The sequence below is a fragment of the Homo sapiens genome, chromosome 5 (genome assembly GCF_000001405.40).
Source record: "Homo sapiens chromosome 5, GRCh38.p14 Primary Assembly".
Classification (NCBI taxonomy): domain Eukaryota; kingdom Metazoa; phylum Chordata; class Mammalia; order Primates; family Hominidae; genus Homo; species Homo sapiens.
In genome coordinates, this window is record NC_000005.10 from 147,849,654 (window position 1) to 147,871,756 (window position 22,103).

The following is a 22,103-nucleotide window of genomic DNA, read 5'->3' on the forward strand; positions in this document are numbered from 1 at the left end:
ATTTAATTTTGCCCAGGAACTCTTCTCCTTAGTTTCTAAAATTATGTATTTCAAATGTTTATCCTTTTAGGTTTTATCTATCCTGGCATAGGCCCAAATCTTGAGATTGCTGCTTACCCACGTATATCATTCTTGATAAGACAGGGCTCTCTTTGAAATGGCAAATGCCTGCTGTCTTACCTCCTTCCTATCCATTAAGGAGTTAGGTCTTCATTTTAGTATTCAATCTATTTTCTACCCTCTAGGTTTTTTCTCTTTATTGATTTAACAAAAGCTAAAATAAAAAGCTGAATCACTATCACTTCCACAGGAGATGTATTACTTCTAACCCAAAGGGAATTTGTGATATCAGATATATGAAGGGCTCCCATTTCTTTAGGCCTTGGCAGATTTGGTGTTCATTAAGCTTCCCTCTTCGTGCCCTCCCCAAACCCGTCATTTAATATATCAGAACTCTGGTGAATAGCAAAAAAAATGATCAGAGCCTGGTACCCTGGTCCTATATTGATTTATAAATACTTGTTCTAGTGACTCCCAGTTTTTCTATTATGAACAGCTTTGTGGTTCCTATAGAAGGGGAAGTCTATCACTGTCCCTTTATTTATGGGTTGGGACAAGAAAGAATGGGAGCTGACTCCTCTTCTACCTGCTGTAAGATGGAAGGGGTGGTGACTCCAGCTTCTGAGTCTACTTCAGGCAGCCAGATGGCAGCCACTTTCATAATATACATTAGTGTCCCAAGTAAGCCTGGGAGGTGGAGAGTTAAAACTGTCAAGGAACCTTGAATTTAGAAGGAAAATGCATCTTTACCATTTATCTTTTGCGGAGTACCTCCTTAGTAACTCTGGGCTTCGAACCAGGACCATTTCCAGAATGCAAAGAATTACTCCTATTAGAGAAAAATGAACAGTAGATTTACAATCCTTATATTTATAAAGATTGTTAAAAATTGTGTGTGTGTGTGTGTGTGTGTGTGTGTGTGTGCAAGAACATGCATTGAGATTTTGAAACATGCCCATGGACTACAACGAAAGGTTCTTTTTTTAAAAAACAAGTTTTCTTTTGTTTTTAATTAGCTCATAATCATTGTACCTATTTATGGGGTGCAGTGTGATGTTTATATATATGTATATGTGTGTGTGTATATATATATATATATATATATATATAAAATGACAATAAAATCAGAGTAAATACCATATCCATCACCTCAACACTCCTCTTTTCTAGCTATTTTAACTTATAATACATTATTGTTGAGTACAGTCACTGCTTTGCAACTGAGCATGAGAATTATCTCTCCTAACTGTAACTTTGTACCCATTGATACCCATTGATAAAGGTTCATTTAATGTTGGGCACGACTGAGGTTTCTTGCTAATTTTTACCCCACTCCTTTTCCTCATTACACATTCACCAAGTGCTTAGCATGTAACATACACAGAAGCAGAGTGTTGGCCCATTTTTCAAGTTCCTTGGTTCAAAAACATCCTATTAACCTCAAGTCATCAAAAGGATCTTGATGACATTGAGCTATCCCTTGAAGTTTTAAAATCAAGGTAGCTCATCTCTGCTAGGTTTTACCTGACACGTATGTCCAAACTTGACTTTGATTAAGTAAAATTTAAGCAGTTTCCTGCTAGTGCTCTGGATTCTAGCATAAAGTCATTGCTGCAGGTCCTGACCCAATTTTATGACTTGTTTTGTCACAAGATAACTATCTTTTTTTCTGTTTGAGTCTTGGTGAACTGTCTTCCTCTAAAGAATGAGACCTTGTTTGTTTCTTGCCTCCATCTTCCAGGCACTTAAGGTTGTATTCTAAAACATGACCTAGCACATAGAGCTCACTTAAAAGTTGTGGTTTATTCTCTTAAATTCTGTTGGATGTTGGATTATGGTAGAGCTGTTTGGGAAGAGGATTGAGTGGTGGGAAAATGGAGTAGGAAATTGGGTCATGTTATAAAGGACTCATCTGCCTGGGAGCTGGGATTCAGGCACTATCTGGCTCCTCACTAAGTGCCCGTTCTAAGGCAGCTAGCAGGGAGTGGAGCAAGTGCTCCCAGAAATCATGCCCAATGAAGACATAGAGAACTGGATTGAGACAGCTGTTGATAAAGGCCATAGACAAGGCCAGGGGTCTTAGGAGTAAGGCCACCTGGTTCAGGCCCTCTCTGTCTTCCCGAAATGATGTGAAGTCCAGCCACAGGGACACTTGCAAGGGCAACCAGCAGAGGAAGAAGGTGGTTACCACAGTCGCAAGGACCTGGAAGGGTCAGCTAAACTTAACCAGCTGCCTTTCTCTTAACTTCAAGGCTACAAGGATGTAGTAGCCAGTGATGATAGCCAGAGGGAGAAAGAAGCCAAAGAAAAAGTGGGCTGTTGTGACCAGCGTTTGGTGCCATGGAATGATAATCTCTTTCCAAAGTTGGTGACTTCCTTGAGTTTCATTCTGCAGATCATACTGGTTGTACAAAGAGGGTGACACTTTCCACCACGAGTTTCCTTGAAGATCAAGTAGGGAACAGAGAAACAAATTGCCAAAAGCCAGGTCCTCAAGGGCCCCAGAGTTGCCTTTGCTGGTGTGCAATTGTTCCAGGACTAGATTGGCCACAGGATCACAAGTCAGTGGTCCATGGAGATGAGGGTCAGAAGGAAGACACTGGCCAGAAAGTTAAAAATAGACATGGTGCTATTGAGTTTACAGAGCAGCTGGCCAAAGGGTTACAGAGCTACCATAACCAGCTGGAGAAGCAGTGGGAAGATGATGATGAAGTCAGCCACGGGCAGGTTGAGGTACCACCCACACCGTGTTGACTGTGCAGGACATGTGGAATCCAACTACCCAAATGACAAGGCCATTGCCAGCCAAGCCTAGGAAGAAAGTCACTGTGTAGATGATCATGGAAAAGATGTCAAGAGCAGACTTGACCCTCTCCAAAGAGTCATCACAATAGTCAAACATGGACGTGGGACTCTCCACAGTCAACAGTGACAATGCAGACACATTCTCCATGCTACCTAAAAATAGCCAAGGTATATTTAGGCTCAAACTTTCAAACTACATAAACTGCTTAAATTATCACCACTTCCTTTCTTATGATGACTGCAGACAGCTTTCATGTCCCTGCTTTAGGATGTGCCATTCTCTGTTGGTGATATTCCTCCTCCTCCCCCATGTGCTCTTGCTCCTCTTCCTCCTCTTCTTGTTTTCTTATCCATATTCTTAACCACAGTTTTCACCACTTATTCTATGCCAGCCACTATGCTAGCTATGTTCCATATATTGCATATCATGAATTAAGCAGCTACTAGGAGTCCAATGTTCTGTTCATATATTGCATTTAATTTATTTCCCATAACAAATCTGTCATATGGAAAAGAATTATTATGAATGAGAAAACTAAGGTAAAGGGAGGTTACTAAATTACTGAAAATCAAACATTCAGCAGTAAAAAAGCAGAAATGAATTTTGACGTTAGTTCTGCTTAATTAAAAATTCATATACTTTACCTGATTTTTTTCTTTTTACTGTATATTCCTCCTTCAATGGGCTGAAGGGGGGCTCATATTCGTATTTTTAATTTAGTTTACAAAAGGGCTTTCCTGTGCTTCACACTATTTAATAATTTCCAAAATGCCATGTTAGCTACGTAAGACAAATGTTTTATTATTGAAGTGATTTTTGACATATATGAAAGCAAAGACTGAAAAAGGTTGTTTTCTTTGAGCTGTAGCTCACTGCCTTAGGAACTAGCAGACCTGGTTCTTGAACCCAAACCTCCTGAAACCAAATCTTATCTTTTCCTCACCTCATTACAATGCTCTTTTTTATGGGTAAAGGACATCAGGAGGTGGGTGTCCACCCTGGAGGAAGTGGGATCTCTCCTGGTGACTGACCCTCCAAACTCTCTTAAGGGAAGATGGTCACGTCAGCTGCATTTAGGGGCCACATGAATTATTGTCTAACCCATATGAATTATTGTTTTCTCATTTCCTTATGGGAAATGCCTGCTGCATATTGTTGGCATTGCTATCTGTTTCTGTCCTATTTTCCTGTTTCAATTTTTAAGTTCCTCAATGTGTGGGGCCAGTCTTCAATTCTACCTAATGCCTGCTTTTGTTTATGCTGTTCTCGCTACCTAGAATGCCTTCCCCTCCACCATTTTCTGTTGGTGAAATCTTGCACACACACATCCTAGTAGACTTACTTGCTTCTTTCTCTGTTTGTTCATAGCACCGGATGTCTGTTTAATTCTAGCAGTCTTGCCTGCATATTAGAAATGGTTGCTTTGATATCTATCTCAGGAGTCACAGCTTATTCTACTTCTACCACTAAATACCTTAGGCAAGGCATTTACCCTCTCTGAGCTTTACAGCCTTAATTTTTAAAAGCAATATATAATATTAATACATACCTCAGAGGGTTGTTGTGGTAATATAAGGAAATATTTCAGTGAAATATTTAGAAATATATCTGATACATCAAAAACACCCAGCATGTTGGTTATTATTCTTTTTATTGATACCATCATTACTATCCTAATTTTTGTTTCATGCACCACATTTGATTTATATTAACATTCCATAAACACTTGTTTAATTATTATAGTGCTGATAAAGGATAAAGATTCAATGAGATGATACCTGTGAGTATAAATTATAGAATCAAGAGTTATATAAAGCAGAATCCTTTTTCTTGAAGGAACCAGTTATTTCCCTTGTTTTAGATGCTTACTTATTTAAGTGAAGTTTTCCTCTTCTTGCACAATCTCTTCCCAACTTTTCACCCTTCATCTGGCCCCAAATGGCCACCCCCAGACAACTGTGAAACCTGCCTATGCCTCTCTCAGTAGTGGAACCCCACACACTCACCTTCACCAGCTTGGAGCTCTGCTTCCCTGCTGGGGTTTTATAGCAGCCAAATCCATTTTGGAGGCTTTTGAATCTATGGGGCCAAGGGACTCTGAAGGCATCTGTGTCAGTTATCAGACTGGTGAAGTCTCTGTGCTAGGACCTAAGTAATACAGTCGAAAGGAGGAACCTGGGGGCTCGTGTTGAGGTTTGTCTAAACGCCTAGAATTCTTTTAGGGAGGGAGCTTGGGATACAAACAATTTTTATTCATCAGGGCCTTGAAGTTCAGTGATCACTGGTCCGGATAATTAAGACTTTAGGAAATGTGACCTCATCTTTGATGAAATTTATGTCTAAGATTTTGAAACAAATATAAAGACAATTTAAAAGTGCATGAGCATAGTAAAGCTTGACGTTAATTACAACAGCAACAGCTAATATTTATGGAGTGCTTATTATAGAGCAGGTTTAACCCCTTCACTATTCTGTACTTTGGAATCAGAAGGGTGTGATGATAGGATTTTGTAAAAACCACGTCAGAGGATCCCCTGTGGAAACGGAAAGGGTGGTTGCTTAATCACAGACGGCAATGAGATGATTGAACTTTGTAGGCTTAGTGTTGAGTCTAAACTGTGAGACCAGTCTGTAAAATGAGCTTAATCTAATTGAGCTTTAGCTATAAAATCCGTATATATTCCTCTGAAGCTTAAATAAACCCAGTAAATAAAGGTAATTGGACAACCAGAAAGCATAATACAAATGTGTGATTTACGATTTGGTTTAAAATAGTTGGACATTATTAGGATGCAATATTATTAAATAGTATTTGGAAAGGCCGTCCGCATGGGACACTGTGGTAGATGAGAAAACTGATGCTCAGAGAGCTCCTGTCTGTTTATGGCTTGGTTGTGATGGTGAGGGATCTCCCCCATGTGCAGAAAGTCAGAAGTGGATGCTTCCTCAATGATGAGAGGGGCAACTTTGTGGGAGGAACAAAGAGTGAGTGAAGTTTTAAAATTGCAAGACAGGGGAAAGGATAGTGTTGGAGGTAAATGTTGAATACAAATATATGAACGTAAATCTGAATTTAAGTATTAAATGAAATATATTTACATAAACCTGGCACATTCCTGTTAACAATAGCTCAGAACAATCTCTAGTGTACAGTAGCCTTTTTGATCCCCAGTTTGCTTTTCTCGGTTTCAGTTACCCATGGTCAACTGGAGTTCAAAAATATTACACGAAAAATTTCAGAAATATACAACTCATAAGTTTTAAATTTCACACTGCTCTGAGTAGCACGATGAAATCTCATGCCCAGGGACATGACTTGTCCCTTTGTCTGGAGTACCCGTGCTGTGGATGCTGCTTGCCTGTTACTCACTTGGCAGCCAACTCGGTTATCACACTGACTGTCTCAGTATCACAGTGATTATGTTCAAGTCACCCATATTTTATTTTGTAATGGCCCCAGAGTACAAGAGCAGTGATGCTGGCAATTTGGAAATGCCAAAGAGAAGCCACGAAGTGCTTCCTTTAAGTGAAAATATAAAAGTTCTTGACTTAATAAGGAAAGAAAAAAATAATATGCTGAAGTGGTTAAGATCTATAGTAAGAACAAATACTTTATCTGTGAAACTATGAAGAAGAAAAAATTGTGCTAGTTTTTCTGTCACACTTCAAGCTGCAAAAGTTACAGCCACAGTGCATGATAACTTTTATTTCAGTACGTTGTTATAGTTGCTCTATTTTATTATTAGCTGTTGTTGTTAATCTTTTACTGTGCCTAATTTATAAATTAAACATTATCATGGATAAGAATGTGTAGGAGAAACAGTATATATAAAGTTCAGAACTATTCGAGGTTTCAGGCATCCACTGGGGGTCTTGGAATGTATCCCTTTTGGATATGCAGGGACTCTGGTACAAAGCCTCTTCCATTATATCATCATAATGGCCATGATTACACACCCAAGGGGTCATATATCTTTGAATTGAACTTTCATCCAGAACTCTTAAAAAACAAAATATGTTGGTAAATACTTAGATGCCTAAGTATTTATTATCTCTTATCTCTTCTGACTCTTCTACCTTCCAGCAGAAGACCATGGAAGAAAGATAAACTTTTAAAGCACAGCCTTATAGGAAAGTTGTGTTAATAGATGGTAGCAGGTTTTGTAATTATTCCAATAGGTAAAATGAAAATAAACTTGGGGTCAAATAAATACTCTTAGGCCAAGCCAGTACTAGGCTTGTCTGATGCATATTCACACACCAATACAATTTTATTCTTTTAAGCTACTTTTTGTTAGTCTGATATTTTAATATTGTTTATGATGTGTTAGAACTTGATTCTGGCAGCCATTCTCTGAACTAAAAAAGCTTAATGTGATCTGGGGCCATTAATAAACTCTGATGTCTTCTTCAAAGAAGCTGATAGACCTGCTCTGCTCTGTGCTAGGCAAGACCTAAATAGTATTACATTTAGCTATGGCACCACTTTGGAGATTCTTGGAAACACTTCTGGTTGTGTTGAGGAGGTGACAATGGTTGACCTTAGGCATCCAAATGTGACCTGTACATCTTATTATTAGTGCTGCTTTCTAAGTTTCTGTCCAGGACATAAACTTAGTTCTGTCCTTTCTAAATGCTTTCCACAATTTTTGATGACAATATGTTGGAATTTCTGGAGTTGGCACTCATGGACTAAGGAATGCAAGGAGGGCTGAGTAGCAGCCTGTGTCGACCTAAATGTCTGTTGATTTATCAAAATCCTAGTGTGACAGAAGGATCCTGATGATCCCCCCTATACTGCTGAATATTTAGGGGATGCTATGAAATCTCCTAAGATTAGAGGCCTCCAGGTCTTCAAGGTACATCAGCCAATTTGAGTACTTTGTCTTTACTCTTAAATTCTCCATATTCCCAAATCCAATATAAAAGTTTCTAAGCCTCTGAGTTTCTCCATACCCCCAAATTCAATATAAAAGGTCCTAAGCCTTCTGCAGCATTTGAGGTAGTATTTCTTTTAGCTGGCTTATCATCTGAGAAGTAAAACAAAAACTAAAAACAATATTTCTTCCTCCTCTTTAAACATATATTTTTTTTCCTTTTTCAATTCATTATTTTCTTCTAGCACAGGATGTGGCACAAAGATGGCCATCACTAACATTGCCTGTTAGGTTGCTTTTGTTTTGTAAACTGTAGCACAATCCCGGAAATGGCCACAAGAGGGCATTTGTGCACCACTTTGAAAGTTACTCTTGTTCAACATCGCATTCCACAAACATTCATAGTTTCCCATGGTTTGAACTTTAATAATTCCACCCTGAAAGAAAGAAAATGAAGCTGAAGTCATATCAGACATAATCTAATCCATATTGTCATTCCAAAGATTCCAGATCTCAGGACCTGTGATAGTGTAACTCTTTAAAATATTGAAGCATTGTGAATGATTTTAAACATTTCAAAAAAAGAAATGTTTTAAATATTTTAATTAGTGTTGAGGCTTAAGTAGCTGTACTTTTGACTTAGATTATTATAGATTTGACAGTCAAAACCTTAAAATATTGAGACCCATGGGGGAAAATAATGTGTGCATCAACATTTATTGAATTTGATACTTTTTGTGATAGAGTCCCAGAAATGATATGTGAGAAGCTTAATAAGGTTTAAAGTGCTTTGTTTATTGCAGTTTTAAGTGTCTTCTTCTTGAATTAAATCTTAGGTTAAGGAGGCTGTTGGAGTCATATGATGATATTATGGTGCAAAATTAATTACCTTTGCACCAACCTCATAGACTTGGAAAGTGTAATGAAGATAATCTCATCTATTCTTATCTATTACAAGAGCCTTTTCCACAGTAAATTTGGTATTAGCTAACCTTTATTTGTAGGATTCAGTATGGAGCCATTAAACTTTATTTTCTTGTAATTTGTAGTCACATTTCAAAAACCTCTCAAATTCAATCCTAAATTCATATCTATTTTTGCTTCATGATGATAGCCCTCCAAATATCTGAACAATCTCTTAAGGGTTTCTTGGTTTATCTTCTCTCCAGGCTGGTGTCACCAAGTTTATTAACTGTCTCTCATATGATCCTTCAAAAGCCTGGATAATCTTCTTATTATGGGTTTGTTGTGAATTAAATATGACCACACATTCTTTGCAATTCCTCCTACCAAGAAGTAGAGTTTATTTTCTCTCCTCTTGGCACTGGGCACGTCCTATGGCTTCATTTGAATAATAGAATGTGGCTGAAGAGATGCCATGTGTCTTTTGAGGCTAAACATTAGGACATCTAGGGTTTTAATTTTCATATCTTGGAATGCATTTTCCTGGAACTCATGAATTACCAGATGCTTTGCAAACTGCCTCCACTGAGCTCATAGCCAAAGCCAATCACAAAATGCCAGTATTCTGGCTCTCCAGCCATCCCAGTGCCCCAGTAAACATCAATCAATGAAACAGGTGAAGCAGCTATATGGTATTTTTAAAGAATCATGAAAAAAGTACACTGTGCTTGTTTTGAACCACTGAATTTTGGAGTATTTTGTTATATGGCATTAGACAACTGAGAGGTCCAGGTTGCAAATGATCTCACTGGGTTGAGTTCAGATCTAAATAGAATGTGTTGACTGTGACTAATAACCTGTAAAATAGATTTTTTTCTTATTTGATTTTGATGGCACATTTTCATAGTAACATATTTTTTCAGCCATATTTTCATAACCTGTGATATTTGAAATGATTTGAGACCAGAGCTGTTGTTGCTTATCTTGACTTAAAAAGAAAGACCACTGAAATAGAGCCTGTGACTTTTTCCCCAGTTCCTCAGTTTTTTCTGACAGCCAAAAAATAAATCCTGAATTTTTCTAGACTTGATGGAATGACAAACATGATTTCATTAATACAATACTTAACTGTAAACCAAGGGTTTGCACATACATCATCTCACTTAATCCACACAAACGTATATGGCAGCATTAATAACCCTTTAACACACACTGAAGTATTTGTGAGTGATAGGACATTGGCTAGCAATTTACTCTCCAATGGTTCTGAAAAAAAGAGTTCTATGTACTGTATTCAAATCTTTTCTGTAAGTTTGAAATTGTCTCAAATTTAAAATCTTATACCAAAAAAAATCTTATAATTTGTTCACTGGATGCAGTGATTATCCATTCTCCTACTTCTATTCTGTGTACAAGCTAAAGAAAGGTAAAATTCTTCAAAGAGAAATTACAAATAAAACTCCCCAAACATCACTCAAAATTAAAGTGTTGAGAAGTAGTTCATGAGCTTGGTGATTGTGGCTGCTCTGACTGAGGTTATAATTATGAAGCTGGATAGCTAAAAGTAAAGATAGAGAGGGGATAATAATAATAATAGTGTAACGTATCTTGAGTGTTCATTCCCAGGTACTAATTTTTGTAAGCATTTTGCATATGTTAACTTATTACTTATAACACCCTTAGAAGGAAGGAAGTTTGTTAGCCCAACTATAAAATAGTTGGTAAAACTGAGGCCCAGCAAGGTAAATAACTTCCCCATTGGAAAAGCTGTGCCATGAATACAGACAGGCTGGCTTCAGGACCTGTGCTCTTTGTCACTAAACAAAGAACAAGGGCACTGAAAGCACAAAAGAGCAGCCTCAACCCTAGAAAGATGTGGAGAAGCTGGAGACAGTGTTTAGCAAACATCAAGCTTGTCAGGAGCCCACACACCTCAGTAAAAAGGCCTCCTCCACCCTGTACTACCAAAAGAATCATAGCGCATGTTGTTAAATCAAACTAAATATGGCCTGAGAAAGCCTCCATACTTCCATATTTGAATCCTTGTGGATGAACTATAACCACCTTAGTAGGTAGACAAGACTGAAGTATGCTTCTGTAACAATAGGTGAGTCTCAGCCAATCCCAGAAGCTATACTTAACCACTCATATGCCGCTGACTGTTCAAACTATGCTCAAATAAGACATGCACCAAGCTGTAACCAATCCATCTGTTTCTGTACCTCACCTCTGTTTTTTTATACATCACTTTCCTTTTATTGTTCTGACCGTGAGGCATCCCTGGAGTCACTCTGAATCTGCTGTGATTCTGGAGGCTGCCCAATTTTTTTCTTTTTTTTTCCCTTGCTCAATTAAACTGTTAAATTTAATTTGTCTAAAGTTTTCTTTTAACAGATCTGGTGTCAGAGTGGGATTAAAAGTAAAACTCCAGCAACCCCCAGGAACACCAGGTGACCAGGTGAGGTACCTGAGGAGACTATTGTGCTCACTGCTCTCTTGATTGTAGCTGGAGGTCATGGGTGAGTTTGCTCTCAGATTCCGAGCTCCACCAACTTGTGTTCTGAGCTCTATGTGTTTATTTGAGCAATAGTTAGGCTGGACTGAGTCCAGGATTGAATTGGATTTGATAATTAACTGAACTGGATTCAGTTAGAGGTCTCAGGCCTCAGGAAGGTACTTTATTTTTAAAATGGGATCTTTTGAATCCAAAGAGTCTGGGACTCCACCTTCCAGGACTCCATGTAAATTTTATGTATAAAAATTATGGACCCAGAACATGTGCATTTTTAGAAAAATGGGTTAACCGCACTAGAGAAAACTTAGAATTAAGATGGCCACAATGGGGAAGTTTTAATTTGGATAAAATTATTTGTGAGGCACATTAGAAAAGGGGGGATCAAAAGCCCCATGAAAACAGTGGGACGTATTCTTTCATTGGTATGCAGAGGCCTCTAAAAGACCACATGAATCAAACATTGCTTCCTTAAAAGATTCTTTGCAAAAAACAAATGAAAAGCTTAAGCAAAAGACCAAGAATGTGATAAAAGAGGACTGTACTCTGACTGAACTAACCTCAACTATTCCTTCTCTTTATGTATCTCTACCTACATAGTCTGAGTCCACTAACCTTTTTGGTAAATTACCCTTTCGCCCTGACGATGATGAAAAAAAAAGAAATCAGACAGATGTCTTACAAAGTGAGACCTTCTGACCAGCTGGGCCTGCCTGCTGTAACTACTTTCACTCCATGGTCCAAAACTAAGCTTAGAGCCATTGTGAAGTACTTTCTTGATCCAAGTGAAAATCCTCAAAACTTTACTGAGGAATTTAGAATCCTCATACAAGCTTACAATCCAGGACTTCCTGACCTTTATCAATTTATTCACATGATGTTGGGGCCTGGTGAAGCTTGGGAATGGATGGCAGCAGCAGACTGGGACAAACCTGAGGCGGATGTTAAAGACCCCTCCAAAAGTTCTTCATGAGAAGGACAAAAAGTAGCTCTAAAAATTGGTAAATACCCTTTAAATTTAATTCCTAAAATTTGTCCACAAAAAACTGATTGGCCCATCATACAATCTTGTAAACAGAAAAAGGATGAACCAGTTTCAGATTACAGAACTCGCTTAGAAACACTGTGAAACATGTAGGGCTCAAAGTATAGCAAGGAGTATTTCCTGCAGGGACTGAAACAGCGTTAACTGCTCTGTTCATACATGGACTCCATCCTGAACTTAACAGTTTGATTAGAACACATAAACTGGAATAGGAAGTTACAGGAATGACTGAATTGGTGGTCTTAACTGAACATTTGGAGATGACTCTAGAGGAAGGAAAAACTCAAAAGGCTAACAAACTTATGACCCTTCAACTACAATAGTTACAGGGGCTGGGAGCAAAAGTATGGAAGGGACCTTCTCATTCTCATTTTAAATCACAACCAAAAGGACCTAGAACAAGAAGTTCTTTACCGCAAGATGTCTGCCTTCATTGCAGACAATCAAGACACTTGAAAAGAGATTGTCTGCTTTTATTTCAGTATGCCAATAAGCCTCCCTTTAGGCCGACTGTTTCCACCCTAAAAAGAACCCAAGAGACCTCAGCCCTTCTGATAAAAATCAACATTGATGAGGCTCCAAGGGATTCTCTGGTAAATTTCTCCCTATAATACCTTTAAATAAACATGGAGAAACAAAGGTTAAAATAAATGGGGAGTCATGTACAGTCATGGTGGATACCAGAGCTACCCTATCTACCGTAAACTCCACTTCAATAAGCCAACAAATCCCTTGGAGTAAAAAGGTCATTCCTGTGGTGGGGGTTTCAAATCAAGTACAAGAGGATCTCTTATCTGAATCCATCCAATTAACTTTGGGGCCTTTTCATAATAACAAACTTTTTACTATGTGATACTGCTCCAGTAAATTGGCTAGGGCGAGATTTACTTTCAAAACTAAAAGGGCACATGCAATTTTCCTTGCTCCTTTCAAATAGCTTCTCCTGAAAATTCTCATGATAGTACTTATAATCAGAGGCCAAGGGTTTTAATCTTTATATTTTTTCTAGAGGCTTTCCAAGTTATTATGGCTTGTATTACCAGGGTAACAGTAAAAATGAGATCCTCTTTAAATCAGGCCACTTTACGGAGCGCTATGATCCTTAACTGTTCTCACTCTCTGAGCAAGGACTATGACCAATTTGACCCTAAGACTGTCGAACTGCTTATATTGTCTGAACCTTCAGTTGGTTAATTTGGTTCAGTTCATTTTCACAAGAACTCCTGTTAAGAAGTATACCTTGGTATTTTGGTATAATCCTCTTTATAGTCCTAATAATAGTCCCCTTGGTGCACTGTATCTCTCAAGTCCTAAATGTCTTGTACGTGGCTATCCATTGAGAGTTAAATGGTCTCACTCCAACTGTGTCAGCAACAACATAAACATTCAGCTGGTACAAAGCTGCGACTTGTGAATTTCCTACTGACATTAAAGAAGACTTGTGAATTCCGTAATGAGACTGAAGAAGTCTTTCATGATGGTGACAGAGAATGGTGTCAATTCCTAAAGTTTGGTCAATCTCTCTAAATGGAGAGACTGACCAAAAATGGGGAATTGTTAAATCGAACTAAATATGGCCTGAGAAAGCCTCTGTAACTCCATTTTTGAGTCCTTGTGGATGAACTGTATCCTACCTTAGTGGGTAGATAAGATTGAAAACCTAACTTAGGAATATGCTTCTATAGCAACAGCTGAGTCTCAGCCCATCCCATCAGCCATACTTCAACCACTCATATGCTGCTGACTGTTCAAACTGTGTTCAAATAAGGCAGACACTAAGCTGTAACCAATCCAGCTGTTTCTGAACCTCACTTCTGTTTTCTCTACGCCACTTTCCCTTTTTTTGTCTATAAATTTGCTGTGATCACGAGGTATCCCTGGGGTCATTCTGCATCTGCTGTGATTCTGGAGGCTGTCCAATTCATTAACCTTTTTTTTCCTTGCTCTATTAAACTCTTTTGAATTTAATTTGTCTCAAGTTTTCTTTTAACAATGTAAACATTTAGCAATGGGGAAATGATTTGTAGCCAAGACACTAATCCTGGACCTATAACTTGGCAAAGTAAAACACAAACTTTTGTTCTTCTTTGATTTGCACCCACATGATGGATGTGCAGTCTGGCATTTTTTTTGGAAGGGTGTGGAGCTTACATATACAAGACATTAGGGCCAAGGTCAAAGCCTGACTGATTACACTGGTAAAGATGCAAGAAGACACTTTTAGATTTAGCGTTTATTACTTAGATAGATATCAAAAGAGTAAACCAAAAGTGCCAAACCCCTCTCATTCATATTCCACACATCAGAAAAGACCACACCCAAACAAAAGGGCCCAATAACTGCACTGGGAACTGCTGCTGCTGAGGAGCGAACGGTAGACTTCAGCTAAAAGGTTTTGGATCAGTAGTGGGTGGGGCCAGAGTCTTCCCGGACACTGAAAAATCTTCCTGTCTTGTCTTACACTAATCTGCTTTATAATCCCCATGAGCAGATACTCCTGCTTGAGAATTCATATTTATTCCCAGTGATCAAGTCATTCCAGATCAAGGACAAAGCTTATCAGTCAATCAGAGTTTAGGGTTCTGGAGCCAGACCCTCGCATCTAACTCATCTTACACACTCTTGGCTTGTCTGATTGTAAACTAAACATTGTTCGATATCTGTCATGGGCAGATGCTATGCATGAAGAGTGGTGGGCATAGAAAAGTGAAAGACACTGTCCCATGCAGCTTTCTTGGCATACCTTATTGTCTCTGTTTGTTTTCTAAAATAAGCCTTTGTGAATTCTAATGTTATTTCTCATCAAACAAACTTGACAGTAGTTCCAAATAGCCAGAAAATGGCACTTTGAATTTTTCCATCCTGCAAGATCTAAATAATTCTTATAATAAAATAGGCAAATGGTCTGAGGTGCCTGACATCCAGGCATTCTTTTACAAATCAGTCCCTTCCTAGTCTCTGTGCCCAGTGCAACTCGTCCCAAGTCTTCCTTCTTTCCCTCCCGCCTGTCCCCTCAGTACCATCCCAAGCGTTGCTGAGTCTTTCTAATCTTCCTTTTCTACAGACCCATCTAACCTGTCCCTTCCTCCCCAGGCTGCTCCTTGCCAGGCCGAGCTAGGTCCCAATTCTTCCTCAGCCTCCGCTCCTCCACCCTATAATCTTTTTATCGCCTCCCCTCCTCACGCCTGGTCTACCTTACAGTTTCCTTCTGTGACTGGCCCTCCCCGACCTGCCCAGCAATTTACTCTTAAAAAGGTGGCTGGAGCTAAAGGCATAGTCAAAGTTAATGCTCCTTTTTCTTTATCCCAAATCAGATAGCGTTTAGGCTCTTTGTCATCAAATATAAAAACCCAGCCCAGTTCATGACTTGTTTGGCAGCAACCCTGAGACGCTTTACAGCCCTAGAACCTAAAAGGTCAAAAGGCCGTCTTATTCTCAAAATACATTTTATTACCCAATCTGCTCCCGACATTAAATAAAACTCCAAAAATTAAATTCCGGCCCTCAAACCCCACAACAGGATTTAATTAACCTCGCCTTCAAGGTGTACAATAATAGAAAAAAGTTGCAATTCCTTGCCTCCACTGTGAGACAAACCCCAGCCACATCTCCAGCACACAAGAACTTCCAAACACCTGAACCGCAGCCGCCAGGTGTTCCTCCAGAACCTCCTCCCAGAGGAGCTTGCTACACGTGCCGGAAATCTGGCCACTGGGCCAAGGAATGCCCGCAGCCTGGGATTCCTCCTAAGCTTCGTCCCATCTGTGTGGGACCCCACTGAAAATCGGACTGTTCAACTCACCTGACACCCACTCCCAGAGCCCCTGGAACTCTGGCCCAAGGCTCTCTGACTGATTCCTTCCCAGATCTTCTCGGCTTAGTGGCTGAAGACTGACACTGCCCGATCACCTCGGAAGCCCCCTAGACCATCACGGACGCCGAGCTTCGGGTAACTCTCACAGTGGAAGGTAAGCCCGTCCCCTTCTTAATCAATACGGAGGCTACCCACTCCACATTACCTTCTTTTCAAGGGCCTGTTTCCCTTGCCTCCATAACTGTTGTAGGTATTGACAGCCAGGCTTCTAAACCTCTTAAAATTCCCCAACTCTGGTGCCAACTTAGACAATACTCTTTAAAGCACCCCTTTTTAGTTATCCCCACCTGCCCAGTTCCCTTATTAGGCTGAGACACTTTAACTAAATTATGCACTTCTGTGACTATTCCTGGACTACAGCTATATCTCATTGCCGCTCTTCTTCCCAAAGAAGGCTCTTCCCAAAGCCTCTTTTGCCTCTTCCTCTTGTATCCCCCCACCTTAACCCACAAGTATAAGATACCTCTACTCCCTCCTTGGCGACCGATCATGCACCACTTACCATCTCATTAAAACCTAATCACCTTTACCCCACTCAACGCCAATATCCCATCCCGCAGCACACTTTAAAAAGATTAAAGCCTGTTATCACTCGCCTGCTAGAGCATGGCCTTTTAAAACCTATAAACTCTCCTTACAATTCCCCCATTTTACCTGTCCTAAAACCAGACAAGTCTTACAATTTAGTTCAGGATCTGCGCCTTATCAACCAAATTGTTTTGCCTATCCACCCCATGGTGCCAAACCCATATACTCTCCTATCCTCAATACCTGCCTCTACAACCCATTATTCTGTTCTAGATCTCAAACATGCTTTCTTTACTATTCCGTTGCACCCTTAATCCCAGCCTCTCTTCGCTTTCACTTGGACTGACCCTGACACCCATCAAGTTCAGCAATACCTAGGCTGTACTGCCGCAAAGCTTCACAGACAGCCCCCATTACTTCAATCAAGCCCAAATTTCTTCCTCATCTGTTACCTATCTCGGCATAATTCTCATAAAAACACACGTGCTCTCCCTGCCAATCGTGTCCAACTGATCTCTCAAACCCAAGCACCTTCTACAAAACAACAACTCCTTTCCTTCCTAGGCATGGTTAGCGCGGTCAGAATTCTTACACAACAGCCAGGACCACACCCTGTAGCCTTTCTGTCCAAACAACTTGACCTTACTCTTTTAGCCTAGCCCTCATGACTGCGTGCAGCGGCTGCCGCTGCTTTAATATTTTTAGAGGCCCTCGAAATCACAAATTGTGCTCAACTCACTCTCTACAGTTCTCATAACTTCCAAAATCTATTTTCTTCCTCATACCTGATGCATATACTTTCTGCTTCCCGGCTCCTTCAGCTATACTCACTCTTTGTTGAGTCTCCCACAATTACCATTGTTCCTGGCCCAGACTTCAATCTGGCCTCCCACATTATTCCTGATACCACACCTGACCCCCATGACTGTATCTCTCTGATCCACCTGACAATCACATTTCCCCAAATTTCCTTCTTTCCTGTTCCTTACCCTGATCACGCTTGATTTATTGATGGCGGTTCCACCAGGCCTAATCGCCACACACCAGCAAAGGCAGGTTATGCTATAGTACAAGGCACTAGCCCGCCTCTTAGAACCTCTCATTTCCTTTCCATCATGGAAATCTATCCTCAAGGAAATTACTTCTCAGTGTTCCATCTGCTATTCTACTACTCCTCAGGGATTATTCAAGCCCCCTCCCTTCCCTACACATCAAGCTCCAGGATTTGCCCCACCCAGGACTGGCAAATTAGCTTTACTCAACATGCCCTGAGTCAGATAACTAAAATACCTCTTAGTCTAGGTAGACACTTTCACTGGATAGGTACAGGCCTTTCCTACAGGGTCTGAGAAGGCCACCGCAGTCATTTCTTCCTTTCTGTTAGAGACATAATTCCTCAGTTTAGCCTTCCCACATCAATACAGTCTGGTAACAGTTGAGCCTTTATTAGTCAAATCAGCCAAGCAGTTTTTCAGGCTCTTAGTATTCAGTGAAACCTTTATATCCCTTATGGTCCTCCATCTTCAAGAAAAGTAGAATGGACCAAAGGTCTTTAAAAAACACACCTCACCAAGCTCAGCCACCAACTTAAAAAGAACTGGACAATACTTCTACCACCTTCTCTTCTCAGAATTCAGGCCTGTCCTCAGAATGCTACAGGATACAGCGCATTTAAGCTCCTGTATAGATGCTCCTTTTTATTAGGCCCCAGTCTTATTCCAGACACCAGACCAACTTAGACTGTGCCCCCCAAAAAACTTGTCATCCTTACTATCTTCTGTCTAGTCATACTCCTATTCACCGTTCTCAACTACTCATACATGCCCTGCTCTTGTTTACACTGCCGGTTTCCACTGTTTTTCCAAGCCATCCCAGCTGATATCTCCTTGAGATATCCCCAAACTGCCACTCTTAACTCTTGAAGTAAATAAATAATCTTTACTGGCAAGACTATGCTGAATCTCCTTAGGCACTCTCTAATCAGATATCCTGAGTCATCCCAATTCTTAGACCTTTTATACCTGTTTTTCTCCTTCTGTTATTCCATTTCGTTTCTCAATTCATCCAAAACCGTATCCAGGCCATCACCAATCATTATATACGACAAATATTTCTTCTAACATCCCCACAATATCACCCCTTACCACAAGACCTCCTTTCAGCTTAATCTCTCCCACTCTAGGTTCCCACGCCGCCCCTAATCCCGCTTGAAGCAGCCCTGAGAAACATCGCCCATTCTCTCTGCATACCACCCCCCAAAAATTTACACCGCCCCAACACTTCAACACTATTTTGTTTTATTTTTATTATTAATATAAGAAGGCAGGAATGTCAGGCCTCTGAGCCCAAGCCAAGTCATCGTATCCCCTGTGACTTGCACGTATACGCCCAGATGGCCTGAAGTAACTGAAGAATCACAAAAGAAGTGAATATGCCCTGCCCCACCTTAACTGATGACATTCCACCACAAAAGAAGTGTAAATGGCTGGTCCTTGCCTTAAGTGATGACATTACCTTGTGAAAGTCCTTCTCTTGGCTCATCCTGGCTCAAAAAGCACCCCCACTGAGCACCTTGCGACCCCCACTCCTGCCCGCCAGAGAACAAACTCCCTTTGACTGTAATTTTCCTTTACCTACCCAAATCCTATAAAATGGCCCCACCCCTATCTCCCTTCGCTGACTCTCTTTTCGGACTCAGCCCGCCTGCACCCAGGTGAAATAAACAGCCATGTTGCTCACACAAAGCCTGTTTGGTGGTCTCTTCACAGGGACGTGCATGAAAAAAAGCTTTTCACATAACTCTTGACCCATTGAAAAGAAGAAAAAAAAACCCAACTTAAAGTGCAGGGCTGTGTTAACTGCTGACAGGGTTGAGAAAAGGAAAAAAAAAAAAAAAAAAAAAACCCTCAAAGTGCGGGGTTGGAAAGATGCCTGAGGGAAGAAGCTCTTATTCTTATGCAAATGGTTTCTCCAAGAGGGAGAGAAACTTAATTGCTGTTTGTTCCCTGGGGTTCGCATGGAGCTGGATCCCTCAGCCAGGAGAGGGGAAGACACTGTGGATGTGTGGCTAGGAACACTGGCCAGCCTGCCACATGTGGCCTTTGGGCCATGAGCCCCAGTCTCTTCCGGGAGGGGAGTGGGGCAGAGAGCTGCTGCTCACCTGTTCATTCCAAACAAATCAGGAAAATGTCATAGAAAGCCTGGCTTGGACTGAGGCTGATATCCCCAACCACCAAGAGTGATGGCGGGATGGGGGACAGTTTCCTTTACCCTCAGAAGAAGCCTGAGGGAAGAAAGACTCTGAAACAAAAGGGAAACAACACCCCTACTTCCCCTTCTTGCCTGGGGGCTAGAATGTCTTTCTAGGACTAACATTAGCCAAAAGATTAGAAATTATGATTTAGCAGTCATGTACCTGGAAGTTACAAGATTCTGACTCTCCCCAAATTGCCCCTGGGGATAACATCACTATTGTAAAACCTGAGATCAGTGCTTGAGATATTTTGCAGACTCTGCACTTGATGGATCAGTTGGCACCACCCACATGGATAAACTGGCTCATCTGATCTTGTAGCTTTCATGCGCGTCCGTGTGAAGAGACCACCAAACAGGCTTTGTGTGAGCAACATGGCTGTTTATTTCACCTGGGTGCAGGCAGGCTGAGTCCGAAAAGAGAGTCAGAGAAGGGAGATAAGGGTGGGGCCGTTTTATAGGATTTGGGTAGGTAAAGGAAAATTACAGTTAAAGGGAGTTTGTTCTCTGGTGGGCTGGAGTGGGGGTGGCAAGGTGCTCAGTGGGGGTGCTTTTTGAGCCAGGATGAGCCAAGAGAAGGAATTTCACAAGGTAATGTCATCACTTAAGGCAAGGACCGGCCATTTACACTTCTTTTGTGGTGGAATATCATCAGTTAAGGTGGGGCAGGGCATATTCACTTCTTTTGTGATTCTTCAGTTACTTCAGGCCATCTGGGCGTATACGTGCAAGTCACAGGGGATGCGATGGCTTGGCTTGGGCTCAGAGGCCTGACATTCCTGCCTTCTTATAGTAATAATAAAAGTAAAATAAAATAGTGTTGAAGTGTTGGGGAGGCGAAAATTTTTGGGGGGGTGGTATGCAGAGAGAATGGGCGATGTTTCTCAGGGCTGCTTCAAGCGGGATTAGGGGCGGCGTGGGCACCTTGAGTGGGAGAGATTAAGATTTTAGTTTCCTGACTCCGGACAAGTTGAGTAAAGCTAATTTGCCAGTCCTGGGTGGGGGCAAATCCTCGAGCTTGATGTGTAGGGAAGGGAGGGGGCCTGAATAATCCTTGAGGAGTAGTAGAATAGCAGATGGAACACTGAGAAGTTATTTCCTTGAGGATAGATTTCCATGATGGAAAGGAAATGAGAGGTTCTAAGAGGCGGGCTAGTGCCTTGTACTATAGCATAACCTGCCTTTGCTGGTGTGTGGCGATTAGGCCTGGTGGAACCACCATCAATAAATCAAGCGTGATCAGGGTGAGGAACAGGAAAGAAGGAAATTTGGGGAAATGGGGTGAATGTCAGGTGGATCAGAGAGATACAGTCATGGGGGTCAGGTGTGGTATCAGGAATAATGTGGGAGGCCAGATTGAAGTCTGGGCCAGGAACAACGGTAATTGTGGGAGACTCAACAAAGAATGAGTACAGCTGAAGGAGCCGGGAAGCAGAAAGTATATGCATCAGGTATGAGGAAGAAAATAGATTTTGGAAGTTATGAGAACTGTAGAGAGTGAGGTGAGCACAGTTTGTGATTTTGAGGGCCTCTAAAGTATTAAAGCAGCGGCAGCCGCTGCACGCAGACATGAGGGCTAGGCTAAAACAGTAAGGTCAAGTTGTTTGGACAGAAAGGCTACAGGGTGTGGTCCTGGCTGTTGTGTAAGAATTCTGACCGCGCTAACCATGCCTAGGAAGGAAAGGAGTTGTTGTTTTGTAGAAGGTGCTTGGGTTTGAGAGATCAGTTGGACACGATTGGCAGGGAGAGCACGTGTGTTTTTGAGAATTATGCCGAGATAGGTAACAGATGAGGAAGAAATTTGGGCTTGATTGAAGTAATGGGGGCTGTCTGTGAAGCTTTGCGGCAGTACAGCCTAGGTAATTTGCTGAGCTTGATGGGTGTGTCAGGGTCAGTCCAAGTGAAAGCGAAGAGAGGCTGGGATTAAGGGCGCAACGGAATAGTAAAGAAAGCATGTTTGAGATCTAGAACAGAATAATGGGTTGTAGAGGCAGGTATTGAGGATAGGAGAGTATATGGGTTTGGCACCATGGGGTGGATAGGCAAAACAATTTGGTTGATAAGGCGCAGATCCTGAACTAAATTGTAAGACTTGTCTGGTTTTAGGACAGGTAAAATGGGGGAATTGTAAGGAGATTTTATAGGTTTTAAAAGGCCATCCTCTAGCAGGTGAGTGATAACAGGCTTTAATCTTTTTAAAGTGTGCTGCGGGATGGGATATTGGTGTTGAGTGGGGTAAGGGTGAT

At 41.0% G+C, this 22,103-nt stretch overlaps 1 pseudogene, besides 6 other annotated features; it reads right to left on the reverse strand.

The window, feature by feature from the left end:
- Positions 2,003–2,896, reverse strand: LOC100288484 (formyl peptide receptor 1 pseudogene; annotated as a pseudogene).
- Positions 15,383–15,924: an enhancer, noted in NCBI's record as "H3K27ac-H3K4me1 hESC enhancer chr5:147244599-147245140 (GRCh37/hg19 assembly coordinates)". NCBI's record gives its function as "activates a minimal SCP1, AML or CMV promoter by ChIP-STARR-seq in naive H9 embryonic stem cells {active_cell/tissue: H9 hESC(naive)}" and the evidence as "EXISTENCE:reporter gene assay evidence [ECO:0000049][PMID:30033119]".
- Positions 18,556–19,221: an enhancer, noted in NCBI's record as "OCT4-NANOG-H3K27ac hESC enhancer chr5:147247772-147248437 (GRCh37/hg19 assembly coordinates)". NCBI's record gives its function as "activates a minimal SCP1, AML or CMV promoter by ChIP-STARR-seq in naive and primed H9 embryonic stem cells {active_cell/tissue: H9 hESC(naive and primed)}" and the evidence as "EXISTENCE:reporter gene assay evidence [ECO:0000049][PMID:30033119]".
- Positions 19,222–19,888: an enhancer, noted in NCBI's record as "OCT4-NANOG-H3K27ac-H3K4me1 hESC enhancer chr5:147248438-147249104 (GRCh37/hg19 assembly coordinates)". NCBI's record gives its function as "activates a minimal SCP1, AML or CMV promoter by ChIP-STARR-seq in naive and primed H9 embryonic stem cells {active_cell/tissue: H9 hESC(naive and primed)}" and the evidence as "EXISTENCE:reporter gene assay evidence [ECO:0000049][PMID:30033119]".
- Positions 19,889–20,555: an enhancer, noted in NCBI's record as "OCT4-NANOG-H3K27ac-H3K4me1 hESC enhancer chr5:147249105-147249771 (GRCh37/hg19 assembly coordinates)". NCBI's record gives its function as "activates a minimal SCP1, AML or CMV promoter by ChIP-STARR-seq in naive and primed H9 embryonic stem cells {active_cell/tissue: H9 hESC(naive and primed)}" and the evidence as "EXISTENCE:reporter gene assay evidence [ECO:0000049][PMID:30033119]".
- Positions 20,213–20,507: a silencer, noted in NCBI's record as "tiled region #332; HepG2 Repressive non-DNase unmatched - State 24:Quies". NCBI's record gives its function as "represses a minimal TATA promoter and a strong SV40 promoter by Sharpr-MPRA in HepG2 cells {active_cell/tissue: HepG2}" and the evidence as "EXISTENCE:reporter gene assay evidence [ECO:0000049][PMID:27701403]".
- Positions 20,556–21,222: an enhancer, noted in NCBI's record as "OCT4-NANOG-H3K27ac-H3K4me1 hESC enhancer chr5:147249772-147250438 (GRCh37/hg19 assembly coordinates)". NCBI's record gives its function as "activates a minimal SCP1, AML or CMV promoter by ChIP-STARR-seq in naive H9 embryonic stem cells {active_cell/tissue: H9 hESC(naive)}" and the evidence as "EXISTENCE:reporter gene assay evidence [ECO:0000049][PMID:30033119]".